A 22,370-nucleotide genomic window follows, 5' to 3' on the forward strand; every position below is an offset into this window, starting at 1 on the left:
TTATAGATAAATATAAATCCCTTTGGCTTGGTGGCATGCACCTGTAGTCTCAGCTGCTTGGGAGGCTAAGGTTGGAGGATCTGCTTGAGCCTGGGAGGTTGAGGCAGCAGTGAGCTGAGATCATGCCACTGCACTCCAGCCTGGGCAAGAGTGAGGCCCTGTCTCAAAAAAAAAAAAAAATTGCAAAAATGTAAATGCCACTGATATGGTTTGGATTTTTGCAAAAATGTAAATGCCACTGATATGTTTGAATTGCCTGCCCAAATATGATGTGGAATTATAATCCCCAGCTGTTCTTGTGATAGTGAGTGACTTCTCATAAGACCTGGTTGTTTAAAAGTGTGTGGCACCTCCCCACTCTGTCTCTTCCTCCTCCTCCAGCCTTGTAGGATGTGTCTGCTTCCCCTTCACCTTCCACCTTGATTGTCAGCTTCCTGAGGCTTCCCCAGCCATGCTTCCTGTACCGCCTGTGGAACTGTGAGCCAATTAAACCTCTTTTCTTTATAAATTACCCAGTCTCAGGTAGTTCTTTATAGCGATTCGAGAACGGACTAATACAGCCACCCTTTTCATTCTTGGAAAATAGAGATATTTTAAATAAAAACATACATATTATCATGTGATAGGATTATTATTTTTTAAATAACGTTAAAAATTTATCAGTTTTAATTTCTAATATAGCAAATATTCATACCTATAACCCACATAAACAAAAGACCTTTGGGGAAGTTAATTTTTAAGAGTCTAAAGGTGTTCTGAGACTGATACGTTAGAGAACTACTGTAATGATCAGTCCCGAACAACAGAACAATCCAAGATTTTTCCTGGATTAGCTAAGAAATAAACAAAAGCACATTCCTCTGACTCAGAGATAATATTACTTATAAAAATAGCTAACACAAAATAAAATTGAAATAAAACTGAAAGGAGCTAAAATGACACCTGATTAACATATTAATATATATTAATCTATATTTAAAGTGACTTTGAGGCCTAGGTTCTGGTCCTTGTCTCACTGGTATCTTCTCCATTTGGCATTAATGTCTTGTATTCTGGCCCCAGTACCTGGAATAGTTCGTGCTGTCTGCTTTACCACTTCTGCCTCAGGGTCTTTGCCTCTGCTGTTCTTCCTACCTAAAATGCTCTTCTATTCCCTTATGGCTGAATTAATTCTACCTCAGTATGCAGACACTTTCATTAGAAAGTCTTTGATGACTCCCAAGACATTCCCTGTTTGTCATTCTCATAGCTTCTGTGTTTCTCCTTCATAGCACTTACCACAGTTGTAATGACAGAATTATTTGTCATCTTTCTCCACCAGCAGGTAGGTGGTGAATCACCAGCACTTATACTGTAATTGGACAATGCACGGAGTAAGGAGTCAATAAATCATCATCAAATGAACTACTGGGTGACCAAATGGATATCCAGAAGAGGAGATCGAAGAATTAAGGTGCTGTGGTCTCAATGTTTGTGTCCCTCCAAAATTCATGTTAAAATCTTAGGCCCTGAAGTGATGGTATTACGTAGGGCCTTTTGGGAGATGATTAGTTCATTAGGTCTCCACCCTTATAAAAGATTAGCGCTCTTATGAAAGAGGCCCAGGGGAGCTTATTTGCCTTTCCACCATGTGCTGACACAGCTAGAAGGTACTATCTATGAACCAGGAAGCAGGCCCTCACCAGACACTGTATCTGCTAGCACCTTGATCTCGGACTTCCAGCCTCACGAACTGTGAGTAACACATTTCTACCGTTTCTAAGCCACCCAGTTTGTAGTATTTTGTTATAGTGTGTCTGGAATTGGTGGGTTCTTGGTCTGACTGACTTCAAGAATGAAGCCGTGGACCCTCGTGGTGAGTGTTACAGTTCTTAAAGGCGGCGTGTCCGGAGTGTGTTCCTTCTGATATTCGGATGTGTTCGGAGTTTCTTCCTTCTGGCAGGCTCGTGGTCTCGCTGGCTCAGGAGTGAAGCTGCGAACCTTCGCAGTGAGTGTTACAGCTCTTAAGGCACGTCTGGAGTTGTTTGTTCCTCCCAGTGGGTTTGTGGTCTCGCTGGCTTCAGGAGTGAAGCTGCAGACCTTTGCAGTGAGTGTTACAGCTCATAAAGGCAGTGAGGACCCAAAGAGTGAGCAGCAGCAGGATTTATTGCAAAGAAAAAAAAAGCTCCCACAGTGTGGAAGGGGACCCAATCGGGTTGCCACTGCTGGCTCTGGCAGCCTGCTTTCATTCTCTTATCTGGCCCCGCCCACATCCTGCTGATTGGTAGAGCCCAGTGGTCTGTTTTGACAGGGCGCTGATTGGTGTGTTTACAATCCCTGAGCTAGACACACAGGTTCTCCATGTCTCCACCAGAGTAGCTAGATACGGAGTGTCGATTGGTGCATTCACAAACCCTGAGCTAGACACAGGGTGCTGATTGATGTGTTTACAAACCTTGAGCTAGATACAGAGTGCCGATTGGTGTATTTACAATCCCTTAGCTAGACGTAAAGGTTCTCCACGTCCGCACCAGACTCAGGAGCCCAGCTGGCTTCACCCAGTGGATCACGCACTAGGGCTACAGGTGGAGCTGCTTGCCAGTCCGCCGCCGTGAGCCCACACTCCTCAGCCCTTGGGTGGTTGATGGGACTGGGCGCTGTGGAGCAGCGGGCGGCGCTCGTCGCGGAGGCTCGGGCATGGCGGGCTGCAGGTCCCTAGCCCTGCCCTGCAGGAAGACAGCTAAGGCCAGGCGAGAAATTGAGCACGGCAGCTGCTGGCCCAGGTGCTAAGCCCCTCAACTGCCCGGGGCCGGTGGGGCCGGCAGGCGGCTCCGAGTTGCGAGGTCCGCGGGGCCCACGCCCACCCGGAACTCACGCTGGCCCGCAAGCACCGCGCGCAGCCCCGGTTCCTGCCCGCACCTCTCCCTCCACACCTCCCCGCAAGCTGAGGGAGCCGGCTCCGGCCTCGGCCAGCCCAGGAAGGCGCTCCCACAGCGCAGTGGTGGGCTGAAGGGCTCCTCAAGTGCCGCCAAAGTGGGAGCCCAGGCAGAGGAGGCGCCGAGAGCGAGGGAGGGCTGTGAGGACTGCCAGCACGCTGTCACCTCTCAATAGCAGCCCAAACAGATTAAGACATGGGAGGTATGGTCTCTATTCTTACCATCCAGACGTATGTGAAGTAAAACCAGAGAACAACACAAAGCAATCAAGAGGGTTTTTGCGCAGAGTTTGCAAAACGCCAAGGAGACTGTAGGTTTCTGTTATAGTGATTCAAAAGCCTGGGATCCTCATGTTAGGTGCTGCCTGAAAACATGGCCTCCAGCCTCCAGGAGAGCTAAAAGCCGTGAGGATTGGGGGTTGGGGATGTCTGAGCCATCTTAGGATTCTGATAAGGACTCAGTTCACTATTTGTTTCTAGTTACTTTGTTTCTGTTTTTTTCATTTTTTGTTTGTGTTAAAGTTTTAACCCCTGTACGTCAGAATTGTTTAATGTTTTTGGCTTGTCTATGTGTTTTGATTTTTTTTGTATTATTATTTAATTTTCCCAATTCCCATTAAATCCTTAACCTCCTGACTTTTCTTTTTCTGCCTCCATTTGTATTGTTTATTTCATGTTACTATATCATCTTATGTTTCAGTATTTTTCTGTTGAATTTTAATTCTTTTGTTTGGCTTTGGAGTCTGACTCATTTTGTGTTGGCTCATTATTTTGCTTCAGGATATTTTTGTTGTTGTTAAAATCTTTTAATATTCCTTTATAAATTTAAATTTTTTTCTCTTTTAATCGAATTTATTTGGGCTTAAGAGGGCACAATAATTTATACCCTTATTCACTTTCTGAGTTTGGAAACAACCAAGAAAATAGAGGGGTCAGGAGGCTGGAATTCAGAGTCTCGCTGGACTACAGAGAACGTGGCTTAGGGTGAAAGCACAGGCATGCTGGGCATCATTGCTGCTTTGCACTGATCAGAGAAGGAGAGACTTTAAATGGGTTAACTCCATGCAATCAAGAAAGGTAGCCCCATGTCAATCCCTTACCAGTGAGGTAACTTCCAATGTGGGTCAGAAGGAGTGGATTGAGAGGCCGAGAACTGGGGGTAACCAAAAGAGTAAGACTAAACAATACTCTCCTCTCAATATAATTGTTACTTTTGTTCATCTCCCTGTAAACCTCCCTCCCACTCTTCTGCCTTTTATCTATGGAGTGGGGATGAGGTTGAGGGGAGACTCGGCCTACGACTACCATGTTGGTCCCACAGCTCCACTTAGTTTCTGTCAAGCACACATGAGACAAGGCATGGCTAAGGTAAAGTCCTGACTGATTCGACTGGTAAAGATGCAAGGACACTTTTTTAGAATCAGACCGTTTATTCATTACATAGATGACAAAAGGAAGACTAGCCAAATGTGCCAACTCCTTGAGGTCATTGTTCTGCTCATCAAAAAGAATGACACTGAAACCAAAGGGACTTGGAGATTGCAATGCGAGTTGGGTAATGCAGCTCGGTGGTTTTGTGTTCTGCCACTCTATTAAGAGAGGGTGAAGCAGGAAGACCCACGTCTCATCAGAACACTGGAGGTGATGAGAAACTGCTTCATGACAGCTTCCCAGGTGAGATCAGGAGGTGAAAGGAAGATGGCCTTGGAGAAGCTCTTTGCAGGTCTCCATCTTCTCGTGTTCCAGGTGGATCACAAGGCATTTGGCCAAGACTCAGGCCACAGGAGAAGCAGTGCCAAGAGACAGGAAGGAAGTGGCTCTGCCCTGGTGTATCCACAAAGGGCATGCAGGCAAAGGCCCATGCTAATCTGAGTCTTGGCCAAATGCCAAGCTCTTTCTTAGCTTTGGCTTGCTTCCTTTTCTCTATGGGTCTCTCAGCTTCCCCATACTGTCTCACCACTCCCCCCAGAAAGGTCTCTACGTGTTTCATATTCAAACATCCCAAGAGGGAGCATCTGATTGGTTCAGTTTATTGCTTTGCCACAAAAAGCCCCCAGGTTCTGCTAAATTTTCAGAAAATACAAGTTTCCATGGCTGCTTTGGCCTAAGCAAGAATTGGTGGTGCACTCAATGGCAAACGAGGGCCAGGGTCATGTGAGTCATCTGTAACCTTGGTGTGAGAATGCTCTGTGGCTGTTTTGTTCCAAAGTGGGCTCTGTGTGTGGCCTACATTCAGAGTTTCAAGAATAGTCCAATCAATCTACTTGAGGCTGTACTGGAGTGAGTAGCTCCCTTAAAGTCTCTCCAGGTTAGGGCAAAGTCACAAGAAATGAAATGTATTATAATCACTCCCTGCTTATTACCATTCTAAGAGGGAAGATCTTGAACTGGATGAAAGTGATTGATTCTTTTCTTAGTTTAAATGTTGGTTTAGTTGTCCCGGTGTCTTTTGTGCCTAGGTGTGATTGAGCTGGTTAGATTAATGGGAACGAGAAGGGTGAAATGGAATGAGATGCATTTAAATCCTATTGGTGATACCTTAGATATCTAGAGATGAAATCTTTATTTCAGGTGACTTGAGAGAGAAGGTTCTCTTGAGCCTTTATGAATCAACTGTTGATGAACTAAAACTGTGTTTATCAGTCTCTCTTTCAGCAAAGATAGAAGTTACTGTCATAGTTCCCCTGATCAGTGTGCTAGACTGGCACACATGGGGTCTTCTACTGCAAGGCTGGGAAGCAGAAACTGTGTTTCTTGGATTCTGTTGCAGTTATGGCTGTGGGTACAAATAAGCCTCCACCAATTAGATACTTTCATGTGAGGATTGGAAGGTGGTAGGAAAACAAAGCCTATTTTCATGCTGTTTTGGCATTTCTGCCATAAGCCCCTAAGGCTGCCGTGGTTTAAACCAGAATTCCTGATGCACTCATGGGTGTCCAGGGGCCAGGGTCTTTTGTAACCTTAGTGTAGGGAATGTGATGAGATGATGCATTTTTGGCACCTCTTTGCCAAAGATAACACCTTGCTCTCCGTGCTTACAGATGTACAAGGGCAGCCGTGGGGCTGGCAACAGCTTCGTAATCCTGGCTTCCTGCTTTCTGGGTCAAAGCCCTGGTGGTGTGTTCTTGATATCGGTCCATCTAGTGGCGTTGTTTGATTCCTCCCACCTTGCTGATCATTCGTAGTGTAGCCCCCAAGGTGAGTCATTCTGTTACATCTGGGACCTATTCCCAGAAGCCCATTTTAGAGCTTGCTTCTCTAGCCCATCAAGAATTTTTGAAGGATCTGATTCCTGTATTAAAGCCCTTCTGCTTGAGTGGTTTTTGTTTCCTGCATGCTGTATGACATAATTCCTGTGTTTATGATTGTTACAAAGCTAAAAACAGCCATGGCCAGGCTTGTGAGCTCACATCAGAAATGAAATTCAGAAGTCATTCAGAATCTTACCAAATCCAGTTTTTACTCTTGATTTAAAAATATTTTACTTTTTAAAATTAATTATTGTGGCTCGCCCAGACTTGGCAGTTAGAATTGAATATCAGGAAAGGTTTTAAGACAAACCTGACGAAGAAAGTTGAAGTAGTCACAGTATCTAGAAATACAAGAGGGCCTCTTTTCTCAGGCTTATATTTTGAGATAAATTTCCTCTCCTTAGTACATGCAGGGAACATTTCATTTCATAGTTTTGCTGATTAAAAAGGCCAAATTATATAAATTACCTGGAGGAGGTTTTCTGCTATTAAAATTGTTTATGGTCAGCCGGGCGTGGTGGCTCACGCCTATAATCCCAGCACTTTGGGAGGCCAAGGCAGGTGGATCACAAGGTCAGGAGATCAAGACCATCCTGGCTAACACGGTGAAACCCTGTCTCTACTAAAAAAAATACAAAAAAATTAGCTGGGCATGGTGGCAGGCGCCTGTAGTCCCAGCTACTCGGGAGGCTGAGGCAGGAGAATGGCATGAGCCTGGGAGGCGGAGTTGGCAGTGAGCCGAGATCGCGCCACTGCGCTCCAGCCCAGGTGACAGAGCGAGACTCCGTCTCAAAAAAAAAAAAATTGTTTATGGTCTGTAAGTATCTGGCCTTCCCAACTTGGTTCTGATGGACCAAAATATAGTATATTTCCCATGTCTCCCTTTGTAAAGAAAGGTAAATTTACTCTTTCTTTTATTATGAATTCATCAGTTTACTGGTTATTCTTTTTTATATTTTAGCCAGTTTCCCACCACAGATTGCAAGTTTGGGTTCCTCAGACCATTGTTTTATGCAAGAAGCAGGCTTTTGGCAAGTTTCTTCCACATCAAATTACTTTTCCTTCTGTATATTTTATGCAGAAATCTTTCAATAACAAGATAAGATTGTTTGCAGCTTTTATTGATCTTTACTCAATATTTGATTCTGTGCATAGGAACCAGTTGTAGGCGAGCCTGCTTACGTACAATATTGAACCCAGTCCTGATTCTTATGTAGAATTTGCATCTTAACACCAGTGCAAAGACCTGGGTTTGATAAGTTAAATGGTTATTTCAAAATGAATAAAACAGGGATGTTTTGACTACTTTGTTTCTTTTTGTTTTATAATATAATATTACTTTTGGATGAGCTAACTGAATCTGTCCCTCTTTCCACTGAGAGTAAAAGTAATAAGTATTCTCTACTAATATTATTAAGTTCATAGATGACTCTAGCAGCTCTTGGTCCTATTTCCTAATATTATGTAAAGAAATGGCTTAAGTTCAGGCACTGCATTAGTTAGCGATTGTTGTGTAACAAACCACTCCAAATCTCAGTGGCTTAAAACAACAGCTACTTCTTATTTCTCACAAAATAATTTCTCACAAAAAATTTCTAAATTTTTTGTATGCCTAGGACTGGTTGGGTGGTTTGGCTGATCTGACCAAGCTTTACTGTATTAGGCAGGGATTGTTTATGTATCTGCAGTCAGCTGGTGGGTGGGCTTGGGGTTGGGGAACAGTGTTGGCAGGCTTGGAGGTCTCAGCTGGAACAATTCAGCTGTGCATCACATGGTCTCAGCCTCTAGTAGGTTACCTGGGCTTGCTCTCATGAAAGTAGAGGGTGCCAAGGGAGCAAGCAGCAATGTGTAAGCACCTTGTTAAATTTGCTACTAGCCCATTGGCTGAAGTAGGTTATGTGGCCACACCCAGGATCAGTGTGGCAGGGCAGTATCAAAGGCTGTAGATACATGGAGGCACGTAAGTTGAGGACAATAGTGCAGTCAATCTACCACGGCCACTCTAAAACCCCAGTCCCTGCTTTTGGCAAGAGTTTTCCACCATTCATTTACTTGGTGTTCAACAACTTCATTCAACAAGTTTCTTAAGAAAATACTGGGATCAATTTACCTTGCAGGATTCACTAGAAAGCAATATTACTTAAATTAAGGTGTCATTTTGATGTTTCACTGAGCTTTTTTTTTTTCTTGAGCCACCACAGCAGGTGACTATTAATATCTGTATTGAAAAAACTCTAGCTAAACATTAGTGTCATCATTCTTCGTGTCACAGAGCATTGGTGTCTTACTTTCCCATTTAATTATATTTTGAAATGAATTCAGAAATATTTGGAGGGCATGATATTGGTCCTTTCTAAAGGTACTTGGGTGTTTTGCCTTGGGCAATTCCTCAATTTTCTTGGCCTTACTCTATTACACAGAAATCTGCCCCCTGGACTCCAATTTGAGAAGATAATTTCTAACCATTCCTTATCCAATCCTTATCAAATGCCTAATTGCAAAAATTTATGTTTGAGCAAAATTCCCTCAATGCCGTGCAGCACATTCCCATTTAGATAATTAATTTTGCCCTCGGATGAAGCCAGACCATTAAAGTTTTAGTCCTTTGGAGGACTGAGTTTGATAAATTGCATTTTGGTATCATGCCATTGTCTTATAATAAGGAAAATTAAAAGGAATGGCCAACTATCATAGACTGTTATCTCTACTCGATGCCTGTTTTTGATGGATGTCAATCATTTCATTGCATGGTATCCTTTTTATATGACCTGTGGGAAAAATTTATCTCAGCATTCAACCATGGTTTTTATATTTTATGGCCGCTATGAATCTTCCAATGTTTTTGTTTCTCTCTTTAACTGCTGGAAACTTAGAGCCAAATGTGTAGCCCATCTCTACCAACTCTACAGGGCTCTGGTGCAACATTTCTGTCTACCACTCTTAACATTTGGTTTTACTATTTTCCTGATTGTTCTTTCTTTTTTGCTCAGACTATCTCAACTTAAAAAAATCCTTAGTGATTTTATTTGTTTTTGTAAGCCACATAAAGTTCTTTATGGAATCAGCTGGGATGTGTGTGTGTGTGTATATATGTGTGTGTGTGTGTATGTAATATATATAATATTACCTCTCTTGTTTATGTAATATATATATCTCTGTTTTACTAATTCTGAAATAATCATTTAATATTATAATATATAATATATATAATTGTATATAACATATGTATACACACATGTATATGTATATATTTTATGACATATATGTAATATAATTATATATAATATTATATGTATATATACATGTATAATATGTATATATTTTTTTTTCCAAAATTGCTAGTTTATGAATTCACAGATGGTTTGGGGTTGATTAAAGGGATTAGCAATTTCACTTTAGAATAATTTTGTTTTTTACTTAGAAGGAAGAATTTATAATTTGTGGCTTAAACTGGAAACACTACCACATCATAAGTAGCACAACACTAAAGCATAAAAAGCAATCTTGAGACCTTCTTACATTACTATATATAGATTCTATTAAAAACAATAATGGGAACTAGAGGGTCATTGTAGAATATTTTTTCTTAAGGTCTACACACTAATTGATTCATGTAAGATGGTCCCTGATTTCTTTTAGGTACTTAGCCCATGAGCCAGTACTTATTTTTGTAGTTGGATTAGTAACGATGCTTGATGGTTCAAATGCTTATCAGCCATCATCATTCTCACTTGCCCTGTTCTTAATGTTTTGGCTATTTTTATTACAATGATTTCCTCTGGGATTTTCATTAGGGTCAGTCATTAGCCTCAGGGGAATAAAATCAAGGGAGGATCTATGTGTCTATTTATGTAGCAGTCTGCTAGAGCAATTACATTTTCTCATTGCTATTTGATTAGACTATTTTCTTTCTTACCAGATATTCACTCCTCTGACTCTATGCCAAATGCACCATCGAGGTGAAAGTTAAATCACATCAGGAATCTCAATGAAGAAGGAGGGTAATGGTTACCAAAAATCCTTCCAAAAGATCTTTTCATTCCCTGACATCATCACACAGTGATTTTTGATAACTTAGGCAAATATAGTCTAAACGCAATTAGAAATTAACTTTCTGAGATGAGTAAGAAAGTTTATTTAGGAAATGCAAGTGAGAAACAAGAAGTAGAAGAGAATATGTTTGGGAAATGTAATAATGCACAGTGACTTATCTCAAGATGATTCTCAGACTTTGCCAAAAATTCACAAAGGAAAAAAAAAGTCAGCAAGGAAAATGCCTGTCTCTAAGCCCATATTTTCTCTCATTTGAGGTGTGGAATAACCCTTAAGCCCTTACCGGGGTCCTTCTGGACTGAGAATTGTTGTAAAGTAATACTGCTCAGGTTCGTAAGTTTTATAATCTTCTCACACAGAGCAAATGAGAATGGGGTGGGAATGTGCAAGCCAAGAGCAGTCAAACCTGCCAGTAGTAGCAAAAGTGACAGCTAGACCAACAAGGGCTTGACATGCTTCAAGGAGACTTGCTCACCAGAACTTGAGAAACATAATTGAGGCTTTTAGGTGAAACCATTGCATTGCACGTAGCCGTGTATTATGCTTAAAGTGATCATTGGCTATGAATAAACAAAATAAAGATCCCTGCACCTTATTTAAGTGGTCATTGGACATAAAAAGTGCATTTAGGCTGAGGCAGGAGAATGGAGTGAACCCGGGAGGCGGAGCTTGCAGTGAGCTGAGATCGTGCCACTGCACTCCAGCCTGGGTGACAGAGCCAGACTCTGTCTAAAAAAAAAAAAAAAAAAAAAAAAAAGCATTTAAATTCTATCAAAAATGATTCAAAGTTTACTAATATCTTTTGGTTCTTGTTGGGGTGAGCTTTGCTTGTCTGCAAAATTCATTTATGTAGAAAACCTCGTTCTCCCCAATATTGTATGTGAATGAAATGTTACTGTATTTAACATTAATTGAATGCCAACGGCATGGTTAGTATGTTGTTTGAAGGAATGTTGCGATGGCTTTGATGCAGAATCATAACTCTCTATATCCCCCAGGTGAAAGACAACTTGAGTGGTTAAATTACTGTCATGCAAAGCGACTAGATGGTTCAGCTGATTGCACCTTTAGAAGTTATGTGGAACGAGGCAGCAGATCTTAAGGTATGTCCGCCTTCCCCCAACCCCTTCCTGTAAAACTGTCGACTATAATCCTGTTTTCAGTGAAAACAGGGTGGGAAAAATGTAGGAAAGAAGCAGAGAGAAATGGACCTTGGAAGTCTCAGCTAACCATTACTGTTGGCAATCTGTGGGAGGTCGGCAGACTATTTGTTAAGGTGCTGATTGAAACTCTGGGACACCGGTTCTTTCCCTTAATACAAAACCAATTTTGAGCCAAGTCATTTAAGACCTTTTGAAAACTGATTCTAAAATAGCATGTGATATCCTGCGGAAAAAATAAACCATGATTTAGTAAACTAAATGATCCGTGGAGTAAGGACTGCTTTATATGGTGTTCTTAGAGAAAGAGCAGGCACAGATGATAAAATGTGGCCAGGAAAAATCATTGGCACATCTATGTGAGTTCCAGCTTGAAATGAACTTCTCGAGGTTCATGGCCCCGTAAGTGTTTGCTGCCCACCAGCTCTGGAAAATGAGTGGAAGGATTCCCACCCAGCTTGGAAAACAGAAAGTCCGCTTACCTGATGATGCTCTGGGGGAAATTAAGGAATGTTGGTGTCATTTCATAGTGACCACAGCATTGAGTATTGCTCCTTCAGATTCATTTTGCTCTAGGCTGATCAACATTTCACTTCCGTGATGAGCAGTGCTGGCCTAAGATTTTACTTAAGTTTCATTGATAATAAAGCTGATGGTGAGAATGATAATGATGGCAAGAAATATAGTAAAGCCTGCCCCACAGTAACGAGAATCTGGCCAGGTGGTGATTGGCAATAGACTCCTATCCTCTGCTAAGGCCCTGTTCTTTCTTCATTAATCTTGCAATAACTTGACCCTGAGTTTTAAAGTAATAAATATTTTGGACTTCACATATTGTATGTTAGGGTTTTATCATATATCAACAATGATTATGATGACGTCCCCCTTTCCTGAGTATTCACTCTGCACATTGTGCTGAGTGCTTTATGCGTGTTATCTCAGTCTTCACGACCATCCTGATGAAAGTCCTCCAATGGCTTTGAACTGTACTTAAAATAAAAACCAAACTCTAAACCAGTTCCTCTAAGGAGTGGCATGATCTAGCTCCTGCCTACTTCATGTCCTGCGTCTTTTCCACTTGCTCTGCCCCAGCCACACTACCTTCTTTTTGTTCTTGTGACATGCCACACTCATTCTCTCTGCTGGACTTTTTCACCAGCTTTTCCTTCTGCCTGGACCTCTCTTCTCCCAGACCTTAGTGTGGTTGATGCCTCCTTCAGGTCCCAGATTAAATCTCGTCTCCCCAGAGAGGGTTTCCTTGACAACTCTGTCTTCAGGAACTTCCTCAATATTCCTTTTACATCACCCTATTTTATTTTTATCCTAAAAGCTAATACTCCCTAAACATTTTCACATTAATTAATTTTAAAAACTCTCTATCTCTGCCAATTTGGATGTAATCTTCCTGAGAATTTGGACCAAATATGTTTTTTAATTATGTTCCCAGTTCTCAGAACAGTGCTTGGCACATGTTAAGTGTTCAATAAATGAATGAACCTCAGTTTTTGGATGAAGAAGCTAAAGAACAGAGAGGTTAAGCTATGTCTTAGGTCGTATATCTCCTAAATGGTTTATGCAGGATTTAACTGTAAATCTAATGCTCATTTTCTTTTTCTTTTTTTTTTTTTTTTTTTTTTGAGACAGAGTCTTGTTCTGTCTCCCAGGCTGAAGTGCAGCGGCGCGATCTCCGCTCACTGCAAGCTCCGCCTCCGGGGTTCAAACGATTCTCTTGCCTCAGCCTCCTGAGTAGCTGGGACCACAGGCTCCCACCACCACGACCGGCTAATTTTTTGTATTTTTAGTAGAGACGGGGTTTCACTGAGTTAGCCAGGATGGTCTCGATCTCCTGACCTCGTGATCCGCCCACCTCGGCCTCCCAAAGTGCTGGGATTACAGGTGTGAGCCACCGCGCCCGGTCGTGCTCATTTTCTTAATGATCATGCTATACAACACTATGAGATTTCTGTACATCACACCTGGAATCACATAAAGATTATAGCTTAAAACTACACTTAGCTTCCCAAAGAGGAAATTACGATTGTATTTTAATCTACTCACTAAGTGAGTAAGAGCTTCTTCGTTGAACCACTGTGCATTAGATAGGGACCATATTTCTCAAAAGCTCCAAAGTGTATGTCTCTGCACTCAAGAGAGAGCAGAGCTGGAAAAACATTTCACTTGTGTTCTCATAACTCTGATCAAGATAGATGCTTTTATTTTTTTTCAGCATTTTAACTATGAAAGGTGAAGCTTTAATAGGCACACAATTTAGGCTGTTGTATATATTCTGGATTAAAAAGTTTAAATGTAACCATAAGAAAAAGCAAATAATAAATGCTATCACCTTTTGTTGTGTTTTCCTGCAAGTGTTTATTTTAAAATATATAATCTGTTTGACAAAAACACAAGTTTACAGATTGCATTACATTTTCGCACTGTTTTGAATTATGTGTAAGCAATAAATATAATTTCTGAGTTATTCCAAATTCCCTTTCATAAGCTCTCCTTAAGTTATTTTACACACTGCAAAGTTTAATTTAACCACGCTAGTTTTGTTTAATAGGTTAAAAGGAATTAAATTGGTCTTAAATTACGCTGTGAATAATAAAAATGCTAATAGGAAATATATTCCATAACACTAGTGCTGTATTTCTTAAAGCTATTGAAGCCTGGTTATCATTACAGTCAGTCTTAACCTACAGATGCCCAATCTATAAAATGAGTGTTGGTGACACAGGAAAGTGTGTGTGCATGTGTGTGTGTTGAAGAAAGCAGAGAGAGTCTACCATTTGGGCGCTGCTTTCTCTGATGATGATATTAATTTTTCTTTGTTCTCCAGTTCAGAAATCTTGGGGTGTGACTGTACCTGTGAGTTAGCTTCCTTGTTTTGCACTAAAGAGTGCTAACAAGATACTGGCCAGGCGTGGTGGTTCATGCCTGTAATCCCAGCACTTTGGGAGGCCGAGGTAGGTAGATCACTAGGTCAGGAGTTCAAGACCAGCCTGGCCAACATGGTGAAACCCCGTCTCTACTAAAAATACAAAAATTAGCCAGATGTGGTGGTGCATGCCTGTAGTCCCAGCTACCTGGGAGGCTGAGGCAGGAGAATCACTTGTACCCAGGAGGGAGAGGTTGCAGTGAGCCGAGATCGCACCACTATACTCCAGCCTGGTGACAGAGCGAGACTCCGTCTCAAAAAAAAAAAAAAAAAAAAAAAAAAAAAAAAAGACACTGGTCCTGGGGTTGTCTGGCATGGATCTCCCAGACATAACCCTCATCTCTGAATCAAGAAACTGGGAGAAGACTGCTCACACCACCTGCAGAAAGAAGGATAATCTGAGAGCCCAAGATGGGCCTTACATTTGTCTTTTTCCATAAAAATACTGTTATATATTAGTGTTTGATAAAGTAAAAATAATGATGTTATTATTATCTATCTCACATACATTATGGGTTAATACGTATTTGTGCCCTTGTGAACTGGCCCAGAAAAAATGAGAAAAAGATTTCTCGTTCCAAACAACCAAAATATAAACTGCCTTTGGGAAGGTAACCCTTTCCTAAGTTAGGGGCTGCTTATAATCACATACTTGACACCATTAAGCTTGTGGCTGGTGATGTTTGTGGCCTTATTATTTCTTTACTTTGTCTGCCAGATTGGATTTAGAAACATGAATGAAGCATTAACCTCACAAGGAAACTGTACTGAAATAAACAGCATAAATCTCTAGGCTGAGTTTGGCCTTTTGCCTTCTGTCTTTATATAGGATTTCCAAACAAGATGTGTCTAAGCTGTTCAAGAGTGAAAGCAAGAAAAAAGAGGAAGGAAGGAAGGAAGAAAGGGAGGAAGGGAGGGAAGCAGGAAGGAGGGAAGGATGAGAGGGAGGGAGGAAGGGAAGAGAGGGAGGGAGGAAGGGAAAAAAGGAGAAAGGAAGGGAGTAAGGAGAATAAGAAAGAAGGAGGAAAGACAGGAAGGAGGGAGAGAAGGCAGGAGGGAAGGAAAAAAGAAAGAATTGATATAACCTAATAATTTTGATACTATTCGACCCATTTCCTTGCCTTTATTTTCACCATTATTGAATCAGTGATGACAGCAGTAGATGCAGTAATGTGAAATGTTAACTCATCCATTCATTTATTCATTCTGCAGTATTTTTTACAGAACTTTGCTGTTTAGTATTTCTGTATTGCTAAGTAGCCTGCAGAGGGTGCACTTTCCTTATTTTTATGTCTTTCCATCCACTTATGACCAAAAGAGGACACAATGTTTTATAAGATTAAAAGAGATTATTCAATGAAAGAAGTGAGGAAGGCACAACTTCTCTTTTCTTTCTTCTACCAAATGTTACAAAATGAAATACGTAAAAGGCGTAGGGAATGCAATCTCTATTAGCTTCTTTGTTTTGTTTTGTTGTTTTTTTTTTGAGACAGAGGCTCACTCTGTCGCCCAGGCTGGAGTGCAGTGGTGCAATCTCAGCTCACTGCAAGCTCCGCCTCCTGGGTTCACGCCATTCTCCTGCCTCAGCCTCCCGAGTAGCTGGGACTACAGGCACCCCTACCATGCCCGGCTAATTTTTTGTATTTTTAGTAGAGACAGGGTTTCACTGTGTTAGCCAGGATGGTCTTGATCTCCTGACCTCGTGATCCGCCTGCCTTGGCCTCCCAAAGTGCTGGGATTACAGGTGTGAGCCACCGCGCCCGGCAGCTTCTTTGTTAATAGAAAAATCAATTTTAGTGACTTTTTTTGCATGGAGCCAGGATCATCAAGCCTGTGGCCTTCCTCACTTTTTTTTTTTTTAAAATTGCTGCATCCCCGGGACTTCGTTTTTTTTCTTGCTCTTTGTGTATGTGTGTTCTTATTTTTCCTCTCTATACTGCATTGGTCAATAGAAATATAATGCAAGCCATATATGTAATTTAAAATTGCTTAATAGTCACATTAAAAAACTAAAAAGGAGGTAAAATTCATTTTAAAATATTTTATTTACTCCAACTTACCAATTTTATCATTTCAACATTTTGTCAATATAAACATTTTATTGAATATTTTACTTTTTTTGGTACCAAATCTTTGAAATCTGCTGTGAATTTTGCATTTACAGCACCTCTCCTCTTGAACTGGTCACATTTTAAGCTGTGAATAGCCACATGGTACCAGTGGCAACTGTACTGGACAACACATCTATATACATTCCTTTTTCATTCACAATTTCTCCATCCCTAACCAAACCAGCAGAAAACAGTGTATTACCAAATGGTGCTGTTTACTCAGAAAATCTTTATGACTAATTATCCACCAATTTGAATCATGCAGGAAACATGAGATGGCCTGTGTTCCCTCTAAGAGACTGTCGTTTACAGTTTTGAGATTTTAAAAAATAGAATGTTTTTAGCCAGTTGATTTTTAAGTCACTCTAGTTCCCTCCATCACAAAATGAGGTATAGCTCTTAATAAAAGTCCTTCAATTTTATTTTCCTGAGTGTACATTTTCTTTTCTTTTTTTCTTTTTTATTTTTTCAATACAGCCCCTTGCTCTGTCACGCAGGCTGGAATGCAGTGGTGGAATCATGGCTCACTACAGCCCTGACCTCCTGGGCCCAGGTAATTGTCCCACCTCAGCCCCTCAAGTAACTGGGACCACAGGCGTGCACCACCACATCCAGCTAAGTTTTTCTTTCTTTTTTTTTCATAGAGATGGAGTCTCGCTATTTTGCCCAGGTTGGTCTTGAACACCTGGCTTCAAGCAGTCCTCCTGCTTTTGGCTTCTTGAAGTGCTTGGATTACAGGTATGAACTACTGCACCTGGCCTGTCCATTCTCAAATACATGATAGTAACTCCCATCTGCTGAGTGCTTCCTATGTACCAGGTACTATGTATTAATTGTTTATACATATAATTCCATTTAATATTCACAAAAGTCCTTTTGAGTTGGATACTGTTGTTATCACCTTTGTTTTAAAGATGAAGAAACTGAGCATGGGGAGGGCTAGGGGAGTTGTCTAACATAATCCAGCTAGAATACTGCAGAGCTGGGATTGCAAGCTGGGCCTGCATGACTCCAAATCCTGCCTTCTGTAATTTTATGCATGGTGTCTCCCAAGTGGGGAGTATATTAAATGCAAATTTAAGATGTTGGTAAAGGGTAGAATTCTAGAAGTGGTAGAAATCCTAGAGTTCTTATAATCAGCTCTCTTTGTTTTTATAAGAAAAATCTGAGGCAGAGCGAGGCTGAGTGGTTTCTCTGTTGAACATCCAGGACTGGAATCCAGGATTCTGAGTCCAAGCCCAGTGCTCTTTCCCCTGATGAGAAACCTTTCCAGATTTAAACCATTAACAACCCTCTCTAAAGAGGAGGCAAGAGGTTTCAATTTCTTCTCAGGGAAAAAAAGAACTGACATCAAAAGGTCTGTGCGGGGTCATTTGTCTCATCATGACTTTGATTTGGCCTTGATCTTTATTTAGTATTTCAGTTTTATGCTCTGCAACAAGTTTGGCCATGTTGGAGGACAATCCAAAGGTCAGCAAGTTGGCTACTGGCGATTGGATGCTCACTCTGAAGCCAAAGTCTATTACTGTGCCCGTGGAAATCCCCAGCTCCCCTCTGGGTGAGTATTCCGTCCACTTTCTGGAAGTCTCAGGTTCTGAAGGCTTTTTACACACTGCACCATGGGAGCCTAAGGCTGGTTGGGCAGCACCTCATTCTGCAGGGATCTGGGTCAGAGCAGGACAATGGCTCTACGACGTGCTGGGTGTTCTTCTATCTCCTTCAGTCAATGTGCTAGGATTGTGATTTCACTTTCTCACCAGGCAGGGGCTGCAGTTTACAGGAGAAAGACTATTCCTGAGTTTGTTCGACTGTGCTGTTTTTTTACTCCTCTTAACTGATTACAAATCTCTCCAACGTCTCTGACTCAGGCTCACTATGACTTTTTTGTTTTTGTTTTTGAGAAGGAGTCTCTCTCTGTCACCCAGGCTGGAGTGCAGTGGCACGATCTCAGCTCACTGCCACCTCCACCTCCTGGGTTCAAGCGATTCTCCTGCTTCAGCCTCCTGAGTAGCTGGGATTACAGGCATGTACCACTATGCCCAGCTAAGTTTTGTATTTTTAGTAGAGATGGGGTTTCACCATGTTGGCCAGGCTAGACTCAAACTCCTGACTTCAAGTGATCCGCCCGCCTCGTCCTCCCAAAGTGCTGGGATTACAGGCGTAAGCCCCTGCACCCAGCTGACTATCATAAGACTTCTATTTCCAAATAATAGCTCATATAATAACTTGTGTAAATATCTACAGATAGGCTTCCCTTATTATGGATGCACAATCCATTTTTCATACTGAATAATCTGTTAAGAGTATCTCTACAACTATTATTTCTCAGCTAATACTGAATTTTTTACCAAGAGCAATAATATTGTTAAAGACTAGAAATAACCCCTCCATAGCTCATTTAATAAGGTAATTCTCTTTATTTATGAAAAAGAAAGACCTAGGTTTTTTTGTTTGTTTGTTTGTTTGTTTTTGTTTTGAGATGGAGTCTCGCTCTGTCACCCAGGCTGGAGTGCAGTGGCGTGATCTCGGCTCACTGCAAGCTCCGCCTCCTGGGTTCACGCCATTCCCCTGCCTCAGCCTCCCGAGTAGCTGGGACTGCCGGCACCCGCCACCACGCCGGGCTAATTTTTTGTATTTTTTTTTTTTAGTAGAGATGGGGCTTCACCGTGTTGGCCAGGATGGTCTCAATCTCCTCCTGACCTTGCGATCCACCCGCCTCGGCCTCCCAAAGTGCTGGGATTACAGGCGTGAGCCACCGCGCCCGGCCGAGAAGGACCTAGGTTTAAGTTCCATCTCTGCCACTTAGCAGGCAGTAACCCTGGTCATATCAAGTAACTTGTATGAATCTCAATTTCCTTACCACTAAGATGAGAATGATGATAATTACCCTCCTTCTAGGATTACTGTGGGGAGCAAATGACTTATATGTGAAAGTGCTTTGTAAACTGTAAACTGTTTAAAGGTTAGTTTATGTCACATTGTCATGTATCTGTGAATATCATTTTTGTAAGTTTATATGTTATGCTTTAGGCTTGGACCAATCTAGGTCATAGTAATTACTCTAGGGCAATGGTTCTCAACTGGGGGCAATTTTTCCCCCAGGGGATATTTGGCAATGGCTGGAGATATTTTGGGGTGTCACAACCAGGGATATGGTACAAGAATCTAGTAGCTAGAGGCCAGAGGCTAGCCTAAACATCCCACAATCCACAGAACAGCTTCCCGCAACAACAATTATCTGGCCCCAAATGTCCATAGTGCTGAATTTGAGAAACTCTGCTAGACAGCAGTGGGTTCTCAAATGTTAGCATCTGTCAGAGTCACCCAGGGGAAGTATCGAAACACAGATGGCTGGACTCCATCCCAACATTTTCTGATTCAGAAAGTCTAGGGTGGGGCCTAAGTATTTGAATTTTTAGGAAGTTCCCAGGTGATGCTAATGTTGCTGGTCCAGACATTGCTCTTTGAGAACCATTTCTGGAGAGAAATCCTTCACTATGCATGGGTCGCTTTGATAGACTACTTTGCTTAGCCTACTGAGCAAAGTAGTATCTTATTAAATGGTGCAAAATTTGTATCAACTAGTTGAGAAGTTTGACTCTAGGCCAAAATCCTTTGTGTGATCTGTGTGTGATTTGAGATAATGACAAGGCAAGCTCCATGGAAGGAAGAAGCTGCCCTTCCCATACCAGACTCGGTGCACAGCCAGTGCCTTACGGTTTCCTCTAGGGAGTTGCAGTCAAGGATTCATGCGGGTATCTTTCTTCTCACACCTGTAATCCCAGCACTTTGAGAGGCCGAGGCAGGAGCATTGCTTGAGCCCAGGAGTTCAAGACCAGCCTGGGCAATATGGCAAAACCCCATCTCTACCAAAAATACAAAAAAATTAGCCGGGCATGGTGGCATGCACCTGCAGTCCCAGCTACTTGGAGGCTGATGTGGGAGGATGGTTTGAGCCTGGGAGGCGGAGGTTGCAGTGAGCTGAGATTGCACCACTGCACTCCAGCCTGGGTGATAGAGCCAGATCCTGTCTCAGAAATGAAAGGAAAGGGAAGGGGAGGGGAAGGGAGCAGAGGAGAGGGGAGGGGAGGGGAAGGGAAGGTTAGGCTCATTCATTTAAAAAAAAAAAAAAAGAGATTCTGTTCCACCACCCCACCCCCACACCCCTGCACCCACATGTATGCGTGTCTGTATGCCTAGCCCAGGTGTCTCTATTCAGAGGCTGTCTGTTGGGGGCCTTGGCTGAGGCACTTTCCTCCACTTTGACTCCACGCCTTTCTACTCCTAGCCCTTTCCCGTTTCCCAGCCTGTGGGCTATAAAGAGGCAGGAGCCTTTTGTGTGGGGCAGGGGCTCATTTTTCTTGCCTGTTCTGCATGTCATCTGATCCTCACCTAGAGCTGTTCCAGGGGGATAAGGGGAATGTGGGGGAGCTGGAGCCGTCCTCTTTTGCCTCTTGCCCGCACTGTTGTAGAAGAGAATAAAGACCTGATTGTTACTCTCAGTTTGGCTCATTGAATTAATTGACCACCTCAACATCTGATTCCTCAAAAGCCAGTATTAAGTATTTTCCTTCACCTGTGGTCTCCCAACTTATGTGCTGTGAATACAAATGTTGTAGCACAAAAACATCTGCTGTGACCAACTATTCCAGAGCAGTGGTTGAGAACTGTACATGGTAATATCTGGGGATCTTGTTAAAATGTTTCTAATTCTGTAGGTTCTGGGATGGGGCTTGAGATTCTGCATATCTGAAAAGCTCCTGGAGGGATATTGGTTTTACTGGTCCAGGGACCACACTTTGAGTAGCAAGACTAAAGTGTCAAGGAATTAACAATTTCATTTAAAGAATTAGAATTAATACACAGAGAAACACAAAACAATTAGGGCAGTGCCACTTGATAGTATCAGCTGTTTAAGAGGAAACATGAGGTGATTTTGAAACAGTGGTATTTAACTCTGGGCTGCAGCTCAGAAGCTTATTATTGATTTTCTGCATGAAAAAATGTTTTTAGAAGTAGGTGTTTATAGTGAGAAGTAGGCTGGATTAGGAGTTGAAAGTCACATTTTCAGCCTGGTAATTGGCCTTCTGAGCTGTGGGATCTTAGGAAATTTAGTGTCTACCAGCTTAGTTCTACTAGGAAGTAGGGTTGAAAATGTACACTAAGTTTTGAAAATATATTGACAATACACATAGAAAACACCATTCGTTTACTTGTTCATTCAAAATATACCTTAGGTGCGTACTTTGGGCCAAGCACTATTCTAGGTGCTGGGGAATATATCAGTGAATAAGACAGATGCAGTTCCCTGATCTCACAAAGCTCAGAGTCTAGTGGTAAAGAGAAACATCAAAGAGGCAATAATAATAATAACTAGGGTGAGGTTGATGATAGGGAAAGCACAAAGTGCACAAAGAGTTTATAGCAGGTGAATGACCTACATCTAAAAGTCAGGTAGGACCTCCTTAAGACAATGATGTTTAAGCTGAGATCTGAAGGCAATGGCTCCAGGCAGAGGGATGATATATTCCAAGGCCCAGGGATGAAAGAGCACAGTGACCAGATTGTGTTCAAGTATGGTTGAGCACAGAGAGTGAAAGGGAGCATGGCTATGAGTTTGGAGAGGCACTATATTCAACAGGACACATTTGATTACAGGTGCCAGAAGCCAACTCATAGAAGCTTATGTATAAAAGAGAAATTGTTGGTTTACTGAACTGGGAAGTCCGTTGGGTAGAGCTGGCCTCAGGCAGAGAAATGAAATCATCCGATCTATCTCTTTGCTCTCTTCCTCTCTTCTACTTCCCTCCATGTGCTGCTCTTATTCTTCCCCATTTCAGGAGCGCTTCCTTCATATGGTTGGGAAATGACAGAGTATGATTACAGGTAGTTCAAGGTTTACAGCAACCCAGTTTAGCAACTGAAAAGAAAAAGGAGGTCACC

General features: G+C 41.9%; 1 protein-coding gene across 10 annotated transcripts in view, besides 2 other annotated features; it reads left to right on the forward strand.

The window, feature by feature from the left end:
* Positions 824 to 2,023: an enhancer, noted in NCBI's record as "CDK7 strongly-dependent group 2 enhancer chr21:30447741-30448940 (GRCh37/hg19 assembly coordinates)". NCBI's record gives its function as "activates an origin of replication core promoter dependent on BRD2, BRD4, P300/CBP, MED14 and CDK7 cofactors, with strong dependence on CDK7, by STARR-seq in HCT116 cells {active_cell/tissue: HCT116}" and the evidence as "EXISTENCE:reporter gene assay evidence [ECO:0000049][PMID:35650434]".
* MAP3K7CL (MAP3K7 C-terminal like) overlaps positions 2,518 to 22,370 on the forward strand; it is a 98,774-nt gene continuing 78,921 nt past the window's right edge. For 4 of the 10 annotated variants that reach the window (NM_001286622.2, NM_001286617.2, NM_001286618.2 and 1 more), the window contains exons 1-5: positions 2,518 to 3,117; positions 11,217 to 11,321; positions 16,905 to 16,980; positions 17,072 to 17,165; positions 17,843 to 17,985. Coding sequence is in view for 5 of the 10 variants with exons in the window: in NM_001286634.2 (NP_001273563.1) it covers positions 11,265 to 11,321; positions 16,905 to 16,980; positions 17,072 to 17,165; positions 17,843 to 17,985 (370 nt within the window). In the remaining 5 variants the exon portion in view is untranslated. Of the gene's footprint in view, positions 4,589 to 5,955; positions 6,113 to 10,475; positions 10,548 to 11,216; positions 11,322 to 16,904; positions 16,981 to 17,071; positions 17,166 to 17,657; positions 17,986 to 22,370 lie in introns of those variants that run through there. The other 6 variants (NM_001371374.1, NM_001371369.1, NM_001286623.2 and 3 more) reach the window with 4 other exon arrangements.
* Positions 4,572 to 4,711: an enhancer, noted in NCBI's record as "active region_18333". NCBI's record gives its function as "activates an Ori minimal core promoter by ATAC-STARR-seq in GM12878 lymphoblastoid cells {active_cell/tissue: GM12878}" and the evidence as "EXISTENCE:reporter gene assay evidence [ECO:0000049][PMID:35858748]".

This window comes from Homo sapiens, chromosome 21 (assembly GCF_000001405.40).
Source record: "Homo sapiens chromosome 21, GRCh38.p14 Primary Assembly".
NCBI lineage: Eukaryota > Metazoa > Chordata > Mammalia > Primates > Hominidae > Homo > Homo sapiens.